The sequence below is a fragment of the Homo sapiens genome, chromosome 16 (assembly GCF_000001405.40).
Source record: "Homo sapiens chromosome 16, GRCh38.p14 Primary Assembly".
NCBI lineage: Eukaryota > Metazoa > Chordata > Mammalia > Primates > Hominidae > Homo > Homo sapiens.
The window spans coordinates 15493433-15504623 of record NC_000016.10 but is presented as its reverse complement, the minus strand read 5'-3'; the positions used below and the strand labels follow the sequence as shown (position 1 = coordinate 15504623).

The 11191-nt window shown below is 46.4% G+C and overlaps 2 protein-coding genes across 3 annotated transcripts in view, besides 2 other annotated features; both read right to left on the bottom strand.

The window, feature by feature from the left end:
* Positions 1-11191, bottom strand: part of MPV17L-BMERB1 (MPV17L-BMERB1 readthrough) — a 192506-nt gene that overhangs the window by 83636 nt on the left and 97679 nt on the right. The gene's annotated exons all lie outside the window — the stretch shown is intronic.
* The window catches only part of BMERB1 (bMERB domain containing 1), a 153672-nt gene that overhangs the window by 83636 nt on the left and 58845 nt on the right, over positions 1-11191 (bottom strand). The window contains exon 1 of one of the 2 annotated variants that reach the window (NM_001142469.2): positions 2248-2330. The exons of the other annotated variant lie outside the window; for it this stretch is intronic. Within the exon in view, the coding sequence (NP_001135941.1) occupies positions 2248-2302 (55 nt within the window). The 5' untranslated portion in view covers positions 2303-2330. Of the gene's footprint in view, positions 1-2247; positions 2331-11191 lie in introns of those variants that run through there. 2 annotated transcript variants of the gene reach the window in all.
* Positions 2038-2332: an enhancer, noted in NCBI's record as "tiled region #1380; HepG2 Activating DNase unmatched - State 10:DNaseD, and K562 Activating DNase unmatched - State 5:Enh". NCBI's record gives its function as "activates a minimal TATA promoter and a strong SV40 promoter by Sharpr-MPRA in HepG2 and K562 cells {active_cell/tissue: HepG2 | K562}" and the evidence as "EXISTENCE:reporter gene assay evidence [ECO:0000049][PMID:27701403]".
* Positions 9883-11082: an enhancer, noted in NCBI's record as "P300/CBP strongly-dependent group 1 enhancer chr16:15587399-15588598 (GRCh37/hg19 assembly coordinates)". NCBI's record gives its function as "activates an origin of replication core promoter dependent on BRD2, BRD4, P300/CBP, MED14 and CDK7 cofactors, with strong dependence on P300/CBP, by STARR-seq in HCT116 cells {active_cell/tissue: HCT116}" and the evidence as "EXISTENCE:reporter gene assay evidence [ECO:0000049][PMID:35650434]".

Genomic DNA, 11191 nt, shown 5'->3' with positions numbered 1-11191 from the left:
TGTAAACATTAGCCAGATGTGGTGGCACACAGCTGTGGTCCCAGCTACTTGGGAGGCTGAGGTGGGAGGATCGCTTGGGTCCAGGAGTTTGAGGGCTTCAGTGATCTATGATGGTGCCACTGCACTCCAGCCTAGGTGACAGAGTGAGACACTATCTTTAATAAAAAAAAAAAAAAAATTTAAGAAGAGTTGCAAAGAGCATAAAGAATTCCCCTCTACTCCTCATTAAATTTCCACTATTGTTAACATTACCAAGAAGTTGACATTGGTGCATTGTTATTAACTATATTCATTGAAATTTTAGCAATTTACCAATGGTCAGATGTTACATTTGCAAAATAGATTTAAAATTAAGAAGAGAGAAAAGAAAAGGGGTTGGCGTGTGCAGGCACCATGGGGAGCCAGGCCAGCCCTTGAAGAGGGCAAGAGAGGGGAGTGGTTCTGGGCATGGGCTTTTGGGTTTCAGAGTCCAGCTCTCACGCTTGAGCCATGCATCAGTGACTCTGGGCACCTCAGTTTCTTCATCTGCAACATTGGGGAACAAGCATACCCATCTCACAGGTGATTCATGTAAGTGACAAGCATACAGAAAGTTCTCTGTAACATATGTTTGCTCTTATATACATTTAATAACTATGCATTGAGAACCTGCTTCGTGGCAGACCCTGCTCTAAGCAATGGGGAAGGAGCAATGAGCAAAACAGACAAAAATCTCTGCCCTTGTGGACCTGAGCTTCTAGCAAGAGGCTTACACTGTTGTGGAGAACAGTTGCTCTAATAATCTGCAGGGGTCATTGGCTTAAGACAGACGTCGCTTCAAGCCCTGGCTCTATCACTAATTGTGCGACCTGGGCAAATTACTTGATCTCCCTAAGTCTCAGTTTCCTCTTCTGTAAAATGGGACTAATAACTCCTGCCTCATGAAGTTGCTGCTGTAGGGATGAAATGGGATGATATACTTGTCCCTCAGTATCCGTGTGGGATTGGTTCCAGGCCTCCCTTTGGACACCAAAATCCTTGGATGTTGGCCGGGCGCGGTGGCTCATGCCTGTAATCCCAGCACTTTGGGAGGCCGAGGTGGATGGATCACGAGGTCAGGAGATCGAGACCATCCTGGATAACACGGTGAAACGCCGTCTCTACTACAAATACAAATACAAAAAAAAAAAAAAAAAATAGCCGGGCGTGGTGGCAGGCGCCTGTAGTCCCAGCTACTCAGGAGGCTGAGGCAGAAGAATGGCGTGAACCCGGGAGGCGGAGTTTGCAGTGAGCCGAGATCGCGCCACTGCACTCCAGCCTGGGCAACAGAGCGAGACTCCGTCTCAAAAAAAAAAAAATCCTTGGATGTTCAAGACCCGGATATAACAGGGTGAAATATTTGCATAGAAGCCCCACACATCCTCCTGTAGACTTTAAGTCATCTCTAGATTACTTATAATCCCTAATAGGATGCCTACACATCACTTCATTTACACAGATTCAGCATAATACTCAAAGTTTTGCTTCTTGGTAATTTGTGGATTTTTTTCCTGAATATTTTCCATCCATAATTGGTTGAATCTAAGGATGCGGAACCCACAGATACAGAGGACCAACTGTATACAACATGTGCTTGGTGTAGTGCCTAGACATCACAAAGAGTGGTCAGTAGCATTATTCCTGCCATCACAGTGCCTTTCCCTGAAAGAAGCCAGACTAACACTGGGGAGAAAATAAAATTGGAGCCACCATCAAATTTGAAGAACACAGACTCATGGTCATGGGGACCATCTCTTGGCCCCTCTAGGTGAGACCACAGCCCCGCAGCTCCAACAGACCCATGCCTGCCCTGAGAAGAGAATCTAGAGGGGGCCCCCTCCAGCCTTTTGTCAAGAAGCCAGTTGCTGCTATTGACCCAAAAGAGAGTCTTGAATCCCAAGGGAATAGATCTGCGCCCCATGACCAGGGAGCCAATATCTGAATGCATTTCAAAGGCTCCTGGTGGCACTCTAGACTTCGTTGTCATCAATCATTCATGTAGGAAAGAAGCTCATTCCAACCCCCAAGCATCCTATTACGGGATGCACCAAGTGCCTCGCCTTCTTGCTATAACGTGAATGTAATGGGAAGCCGCCCGTTGCTTTTAATGAGTCACCGTTTCCCAAAGAGATGAAGTCACTGCTTTTAACCCAGAAGCTCCTGGCTGCTCGATTTCTCCCAGCCTGCCTCGTGGAGAGGATGCCACTGGGCCCCCAAGAGCGATCATACCTTTCTTTGCACTCCGCCGTCCCATACATCCCGTCTCTGTGAGGTCGCCCCACATGGAAGAATTTGCGGCTGAGGAAACTGACAGGCTTCACATCCTGGCTATGATTGTTATTCTCCAGTGGCACCTCAAGCACATTTTTTTAACTTCTGCGAGTTTCTGTTTCCCCAGCCACATCTGACGTGTCAAAGGACACAAAAGTAATTCAGGAGGACGCACCAACAGCACGTGAAGACGCAGGCATTGGCGTCAAGCAGACATGAGTAGATGGTCCGGCATCTTTCTAACGGCCGACCTCGGCAAATGCCCTAACCTCTTTGAGACTCAGTTTCCTTATCTGTAAATCGGGGGTCATAAAAGAGAGAATGTATAGATCAGTGCGGTCCAATTGAAATAGAACACTAGCCACATATGTAATTTTGAACATTCCAGGAACCACATTCTAAAAAATAAAAAAGGCTGGGTGTGGAGGCACATGCCTGTAATCCCAGCACTTTGAGAGGCCAAGGGTGGTGGGCATATCACTTAAGGTCAGGAGCTCAAGACCAGCCTGGCCAACATGGTGAAACCCCATCTCTACTAAAAATATAAAAATTAGCCGTGGCAGAGCACGGTGGCTCACTCACGCCTGTAATCCTAGCATTTTGGGAGTCCGAGGCGGTGGATCACCTGAGGTCAGGAGTTCAAGACCAGCCTGGCCAACATGGCGAAAGCCCGTCTTCCTAAAAATACAAAAATTAGCCAGGTGTGGTGGTGTGTGCCTGTAATCCCAGCTATTCAGGACGCTGAGGCAGGAGAATTGCTTGAACTGGGGAGGCGGAGGTTGCAGTGAGCCGAGATCGTGCCACTGCACTCCAGCCTGGGCAACAGAGGGAGACTCTGTCTCAACAAGAACAACAAGAACAACAAACAAAAAAAATTAACTGGGCATGGTGGCAGGTGACTATAATCGTAGCTACTCAGAAGGTTGAGGCAGGAGAATCGCTTGAACCTGGGAGGCGGAGGTTGCAGTGAGCCAAGATCGAGTCACTGCACTCCAGCCTGGGTGACAGAACGGACTCCATCTCAAAAAAAAAAAAAAAAAAAAAAAAGTAAAAAGAGCTGGGTGCGGAGGCACATGCCTGTAGTCTCAGCTACTCTGGAGGCTGAGGCAGGGGGATCACTTGAGCCCAGGAGTTTAAGTCCAACCTAGGCAACATAGCAACGAGACCCTGTCTCTTAAAAATAAAAAAAAAGATAAAAAGAAATGGGCGAGATTAATTTCACTAACATATTTTATTTAATCCAATAGATCTAAAGGATTATCAGTTCAAAATGTAATCAATATATTAAAGATACGAATGAGATGTTTTATATCCTTTTTGGAGGGAGTATGGAAGTCTTAAGTCCAGTATGTATATTTTACCCTTTAAATAGATCTCAATTCAGGCCAGGCACGGTGGCTCACGCCTGTAATCCCAGCACTTTGGGAGGCCGAGGCAGGTGGATCACTTGAGGTCAGGAGATCGACACCAGCCTGGACAACATGGTGAAACCCCATCTCTACTAAAAATACAGAAAATAGCCACGTCTGGTGGCACGTGCCTGTCATCCCAGCTACTTGGGAGGCTGAGGCACAAGGATCACGTGAACCTGGGGGATGGAGGTTGCAGTGAGCCGAGACTGCGCCACTGCACTACAGTTTGGGTGACAGAGTGAGACTCCGTCTCAAAACTAAATAAAGGAAGAACAGATCTCAATTTGGAATGGCCACATTTCAAGTGCTCCCAAGTCCCAAGTCATTGTTCACCATCCTGGGACCCTCCATTCATCTCCTTCTTTCTTTTCTCCCTGATACCTTCCCCTTCCTCAAAGATTCTGTCTCCCTGAGGTGTTTCTCCATTTCAGGACTCTTCTGCTTCCCTCTTAACTGCTCTCATGAAAGGACTTCTGATGGACCCTCTCGTCCCACCTCCAGCCCCTGGCAGCCTATGGGTGGCCCTGCCTTTGGTCAGGGCCTCAGCACGTTCAACCTGGGTGGAGCCACAGGTCACACGAGACCCTCCCCTTCAGCAGGGACTGTGAGGAAACCCTTAGAAGGAGTGTGTGCGGTGCAGGCCCCACAGGTCGGCTGCCCCCTAAATCCTAATAGGACTGGCTCAGCTGTGACCCAGAATCCCCTGCAGAATGAATGCCTGACTTCAGCTCTCTCAGGCAGTGTAGTCTGTTGGGAGCCAGGAAGGTGGGGAGAAGGACACAGGTATCTCTGTGGAGGGGACTCCACAGCAGCATCTGAGCAAAGGCACCAGAAAACTGGAGATGGGCAGTGATAAGTTGCAAAGAGCCAACAGAATTCCCCTCTACCCCCCTCACTCAATTTCCACTATTTGTTAACTTTACCAAGAAACTGACATTGGCACATTGCTATTAACTATATTGATTGAATATATTGATTGTGTGATAAGGGGCAGCTGGGATTTTCCTGTACCCTCATCCCTTTGTTTCCTTACTCCCTACCCCGACTCCTTATCTGGAGCTGGAAGGTCTTTGATGAGCTGAAGAAAGACACGGGTTATTAAATAATAATGCTGCGACATCTTCCCGCAAGAGGCGGTCAGTGTTGGCAAGAGAAAAGCTCGTCTTCCAAATGCTCTGAACAACCTGAATGATGAGCTGGAAGAAATGTCCAGGGCCTCAGAAATCAAACACCATCCCTCTAGGAAGGAACTGGGAGGAAGGAAAGGGAGGCAGAGAGAAGGTGTCCACAGATGCCCTTCCCAGGTGGACTCAAGGAGAAGCTGTGGTCCTTCCCCTCTCGTGAACCACAAGATTATGCAGAACTGGCTGATTGTAGGAATTTCTTTCTGGAAACATGCTCTTCCTCTGTGACCTCATAGAAGTCCAAGATCTAAGAGGTCCAAGTACAAAGAAATGACAAAGGGAGCAGAGGAGAGCATTTGATGCCGTTGACTTTTTTTTTTTGTTTTTTATTTTTATTTTTTTAGATGGAGTCTCATTCTGTCTCCCAGGCTGGAGTGCAGTGGTGTGATCTCGGCTCACTGCAACCTCCACCTCCCGGGTTCAAGTGATTCTCCTGCCTCAGCCTCCCAAGTAGCTGGGATTACAGGTGCCTGCCACTTCGCCTGACTAACTTTTGTATTTTTGGTAGAGACAGAGTTTCACCATGTTGGCCAGGCTGGGCCCTTGACTTTTGCAGTGAAATAGGAAATAAGGATGAAGGTGAAGAGGTGAGATTGAGGAGTAGAGGAGAAACTAAGATAGCCCATTTGGGGAGGAATCCTGGGAGGACCCAACACTTGAGACAAAGAGTTTCTTTCACAAGAAAGACAAATTCCAGCCTAATCCTCTGGAAGTGTAATCTGAGAACATCTGAAGACTCATTCTGAGTGCAGGAGCCAAGGCTAGAGCAAGAGCTTCATCTCACTGCTGCTCCATAGCCTGTGAGTGCTTTGACATTTGGAGTTGGACGCTTCTTTGTGCTGGGGGCTGTGCTAAACACTGTAGGCTGTGCAGCAGCATCCCTGGCCTCTGCCCACTGGCTGCCAGTAGCATCCTCTCCCCAACCCAAAATGTCCTCAGACACTGGCAAGTATCCCCTGGGGGACAAAATCACCCTTTGTTGAAAACCACGGGTTTAGACTCAGAGTCTTTCTCCTTCTTTCCTTTCTCTCTTTTCCTTCCTTTTTCTTTCTTTCCTCCTTTCTTCCTTCCTTAGTTCCATCTTCCCTTCCTTCCTTCCTCTTTCTTCCTTTCTCTTTCTTTTTTCCTTCCTTCCTTTCTCCCTTCCCTTCCCTTCCCATTTCCTTTTGCCCCTTTCCTTTCTTTTTTCCTTTCTTTCCTTTCCTCTTTTTATCTGAAACAAGGTCTCACTCTATTACCAAGTCTGGAGTTCAGTGGTGTGATCATACCTCACTGCATCCTCAAGCTTCTGGGCTCAAGCAATCCTCCCACTTCAGCCTCCTGAATAGGTGGGACTACAGGTGTGCACCATCACGTCCTTTTAATTTTGTAGAGACGGAGTCTCACCATGTCACCCAGGCTGATCTTAAACCGGCCTCAAGCGATCCTCCCATCTCAGACCCCCAAGCTGATGGGATTACAAGCATGAGCCACTGCACACAGCCTAAACCCAGAGTTTTTTTATTGTGCTCCCAGGGCACAGGTATGAGACTTACCTAGGTGTGATTAAAAAAAAAAAATCCATCTACCTGGGCTTCTCCTGGACCTACTGAATCAAAATCTCCCTGGAGGAGACCCAGCAAGCTGCCCTTCAAGCAGGTGATTCTTCATTAAACACTCTATGCCTCAGTTTCCTGAAATGGGAAGGATAATGATAACATCTATCTCAAGGGTTGGTATGGAGGTTAAGTGAGGGGATTCACACATTGAGCACAGTGTGCTGAATGTTAGCTATTATCACTCACATTAAAGGTGGAGAAGCACTGGTTTGGAGAGATATGCATTGAGTGCTCTTGAAGAGAGGGAAGAACAGGAACCCGGGGGCAGGAGAGTGAACGCTGCTGTGATAACCACTCTGCTCAAATGCCAGCCAAGTACTGTGGCTAATGATGAGGGGGCACAATGGGGATTATCCCGCCATCCTAGGGCTTTCCTCCCTGCAGATCATCATTGTTCCTGTTGACTTCATGCTCCAGCTGCCTCCCCAGCTAAAACAAATACTAACAACTGATGATACAAGGCAAGAGGGGTGACAGTGGAAAAAAATGCCAATCTGTGTCTCAGTTACAAATAAACACAAACTTAGTGGCTTAAAACAACACACATTTATTATAGTTCTGGAGGACAGAGGCCCAACGGACGTGAAAATCAGGGTGTTGAAACCAACACAAGTAGTCCCATAGACAGTTTTTTTCTTTCTTGATAAACATAGAAATTGACCTTTCTGGTCTTAACTCTTGAAACTTAAAGTTTGTTTTATCTGAGTTCCTTCCTCAGGAGGGAATTCCTTGCCTCTCAAATAAGTATCAAAGAACTGAAACTCACCAGATTACAGCATCCAGACAATGAGATGCCAGACCCCTCATTCATCGGGATTGCTTCCTTGCCCGTCCCAAGTTCCTGTTTTGTTACACATTGTTACATCTCTTCCCTGCTGTATAAACCCTTGATTTTAGTTGGTCAGGGAGATGGATGTGAGACTGAGTTACTGGCTCCTTGGCTGCAACACCTGAGTAAAGCCTCCTTCCTTAGCAATAATTGTTGTCTCAGTGTCGGCCTTCTGTGCAGTGAGCAGCAGGACCTAGACGAATCCCCTGGTGTTTTGGTAACAGTGTCAGCAGGATTGCCTGTCCTTCTTGGGGCTCTAAGGAAGAATGAGTTTCCTTGCCTTTTCTAGCTTCTACATTCCTTGGCCACCTACATTCCTTGGCTTATGGCCCCTTGCTTCATGTTCAAAGCCAGCAATGGTGAATGGTGAAAGGCTGGCTCTGCCCCTGCCTGGCTCTGCCCCTGCCTGGCTTTGTGCCCCTGGACAAGTTATTTAAATTCTCTGAGTTTCCACTTTAAAAAATTTCCCTTGTGGGCCTGGCACAGTGGCTCATGCCTGTAATCCCAGCACTTTGGGAGGCCGAGGCGGGCAGATCACGAGGTCAGGAGATCAAGACCATCCTGGCTAACATGGTGAAACCCCGTCTCTACTAAAAATAAAAAAAATTAGCCGGGCGTGGTGGCGGGCGCCTGTAGTCCCAGCTACTCGGGAGGCTGAGGCAGGAGAATGGCGTGAACCCGGGAGGCGGAGCTTGTAGTGAGCCAAGATCGCACCACTGCACTCCAGGCTGGGTGACAGAGCAAGACTGTCTCAAAAAAAAAAAAAAATTTCCCTTGTAAAGTGGGTCTATTAATCCTTAGCTTGTAATATTTGTTCATTTCATAATAGCTAGTTGTGTGGCTGGTAAGTGAGTTATGTAACTTTCCCAATCCTCAGTCTTCATTACCTGTTAACTGGGGATAATAATAGAGGGTACCCTTGGATGCAGTGAGGATTGAATGACAGATCGTATATAAGGCTCTTAATGTGGTGCCTGGTACATCATAAGGACAGTGAGGACTTGGTGAATGTCAGTTATCACAATCACTGTCTCTATCCTCACCATAATCACTATCACTATCATAATCATCACCACTATCACCATTATCTTTACCATCACCATCACCACTATCACTATCACCACCATCACTGTCATTATCACCATCACTAGCACATCACTGTCATCGTCACCATTATCACTATCACCATTATCACCATCATTACTATCCCCACCATCACCATCACCATCATCACGATCACTGTCATCATCACCATCACCACCATCATTACCACCCCTTTCATCATCACCATCACCACTATCACCACCACCACCACCATCAACATCACTATCATCATCATTGCCACCACCACCATCACCACCATCAACAAAAGAAAAAGCAGCCAAACTCAGAATTCCACATCAGCTGGAACTAGGGTTGGGGAAGCACAGAGGACATTAGCCCATGGGAATTCTTTGCCCCAACTTCACCTCCCTCCCAGAACTCCCTTGGCTGGGAATATCCCACCTCATACACCATCCCATTCTGTGCCCTCTTGGAAGATGAGAAGCACCAAAGGTCTTGTGTCCCACCTGCAATGTCCACAAATACTAATATTAGGCTTAGAGAAGAGAAATGAGAAGAGTGATATTAAGATAATAAAAGTAGGCCAGGCGCGGTGGCTCACGCCTGTAATCCCAGCACTTCGGGAGGCCGAGGTGGGCAGATCACGAGGTCAGGAGATTGAAACCATCCTGGCTAACATGGTGAAACCCCACCTCTACTAAAAAATACAAAAAATTAGCCAGGCGTGGTGGCAGATGCCTGTAGTCCCAGCTACTTGGGAGGCTGAGGCAGGAGAATGGTGTGAACCCGGGAGGCGGAGCTTGTAGTGAGCCAAGATCATGCCACTGCACTCCAGCCTGGGTGACAGAGCGAGACTCTGTCTCAAAAAACAAAAAACAAAAAACTTAGCTGGGCATGGTGGTGCACGCCTACAGTCCCAGCTACTTGGGAGGCTGAGGCAGGAGAATCGCTTGAACCCAGGAGGTGGAGATCACGCCACTGCACTCCAGCCTGGCAACAGGCAACAGAGCGAAACTCCGTCTCAAACAACAACAATAATAATAATAATAATAAAAGTAAATTAGGCCGGGCGTGATGGCTCACACCTGTAATCCCAGCACTTTGGAAGGCCGAGGTAGGCGGATCACTTGAGGTCAGGAGTTCGAGACCAGCTTGGCCAACGTGGTGAAACCCCACCTTTACTAAAAATACAAAAATTAGCCAGGGGTGGTGGCGCATGCCTGTAATCCCAGCTACTCTGGAGGCTGAGGCACAAGAATCACTTAAACCCGGGAGGCAGAGATTGCAGTGAGCTGAGATCGAGCCACTGCACTCCAGCCTGGGCAACAGAGCAAGACTCCTTCTCAAAAAAAAAAAAAAAAAAAAAAAAGATAAAAAAAAGGAAATTTACCAACATTTCTTGAGCCTTTTAAAACTTTTTTAAGGCTCCAATAAGATCATTAAGTCCTTTCTGGAATAAGGAGAGGTAGTAATAAACAAATTCTTTGTTGCTTTCAAATCAGTTTATGCGTTACTCAAGAAAAGCAGTTAAAATAACTTTACATTAAATTTCATTTGATCAACCACTTTATTCAAACACCTTGGCCCAGAATGACTTTGGTTATTCCAAAAAGCAAACTCCGTCTAAGGCAAAGTTTTATCACATTAAGGATATTCACAAGACTTTGCCACAGATTGGGACTGCAGTTCCCAGGTGGGACTTCCAGAAAGATTGCATTTGAATTACGTGTGTGTTATTTCCAGGGTGAGACTTTGAAAGAGATGACACAAGAGTTCCGGCAAATTATTTAACAAATTGTAATGTCATTTTACATTACTCAGTGTCCTCTCCCCAACACTTCAAAGTGACCTTCAATGAATCACCAAACCATGCTGTCATATTTCTTCCAATGACAAGCAGAAGGGCTCCGATTGCTTTCTAAGGCCCTTTGGGACCATATGAGAGAATAAAGTATATACTTCCTAATTCAAAGCAAATCATTAGGGCTGTGGAATTAAAATTGTGGAAATTGATAAACCTATAATAACAACAATTGCCCGGTTAAAATTGCATAAACAACAAATCTTTTTCGGCACTTCTGTAGGTTCATTCTGTTACTCAAGGTCCATTTGTTCTGAAATATCCCCCATCCCTGCAATCTCAGAATGAGTTCATGAAAACAGACAATTATAAATCTATCCTGAGCTATGATTCATGCATCTTAACCGACTCCCTAATTCTTCCAATTTACAAACCAATTCAGAAGTCAGTCAAGGGCCCAGGTCACGCAAGGATGGTTAGAGGAGCAGATGGAGCTGCTTAAAACCATGTGCTTGGCGGGGTTAAAATGATGAGAATCCAGAGGAAAATAAATTGGGCCTGTCTAAAGTAATATTTCAGTTTTTAAAAACTGCTTAGCCTGAAAATCATGTGCCTCATTTAATTCCCTGCAGGCTGGAAATTTGACAGGAGAGATAAATTGCACCAGGAACATTATTTTCATTCAGAAAGGTAAGCCCAAGAAATAGGGTGGGATATATCCTCATCTGAATGAGGGTGGTCTGCGGAGGGGGGACGCAGGGAAGAGCAGCCAGGGGAAAAACAGGATGTGTGCAGGCGTGAACGGGTCCAGTTCAATGTGAAGTCAGAGGGAGAGTCAGATCATGGCAGAAGAAGGAAGGAAGCAAATCTGGAAGCATTCATGTCGGACTGAAAATCCACACCAGAAGGGAGATGTGGCTCTAAACAGGGATCTCAAGCACAAAGGCAAAGCATCAGTACTGGAAATCCTTAGGGGATTTAAAAAAAGATTAAAATGCATACTCTGTTCAGAT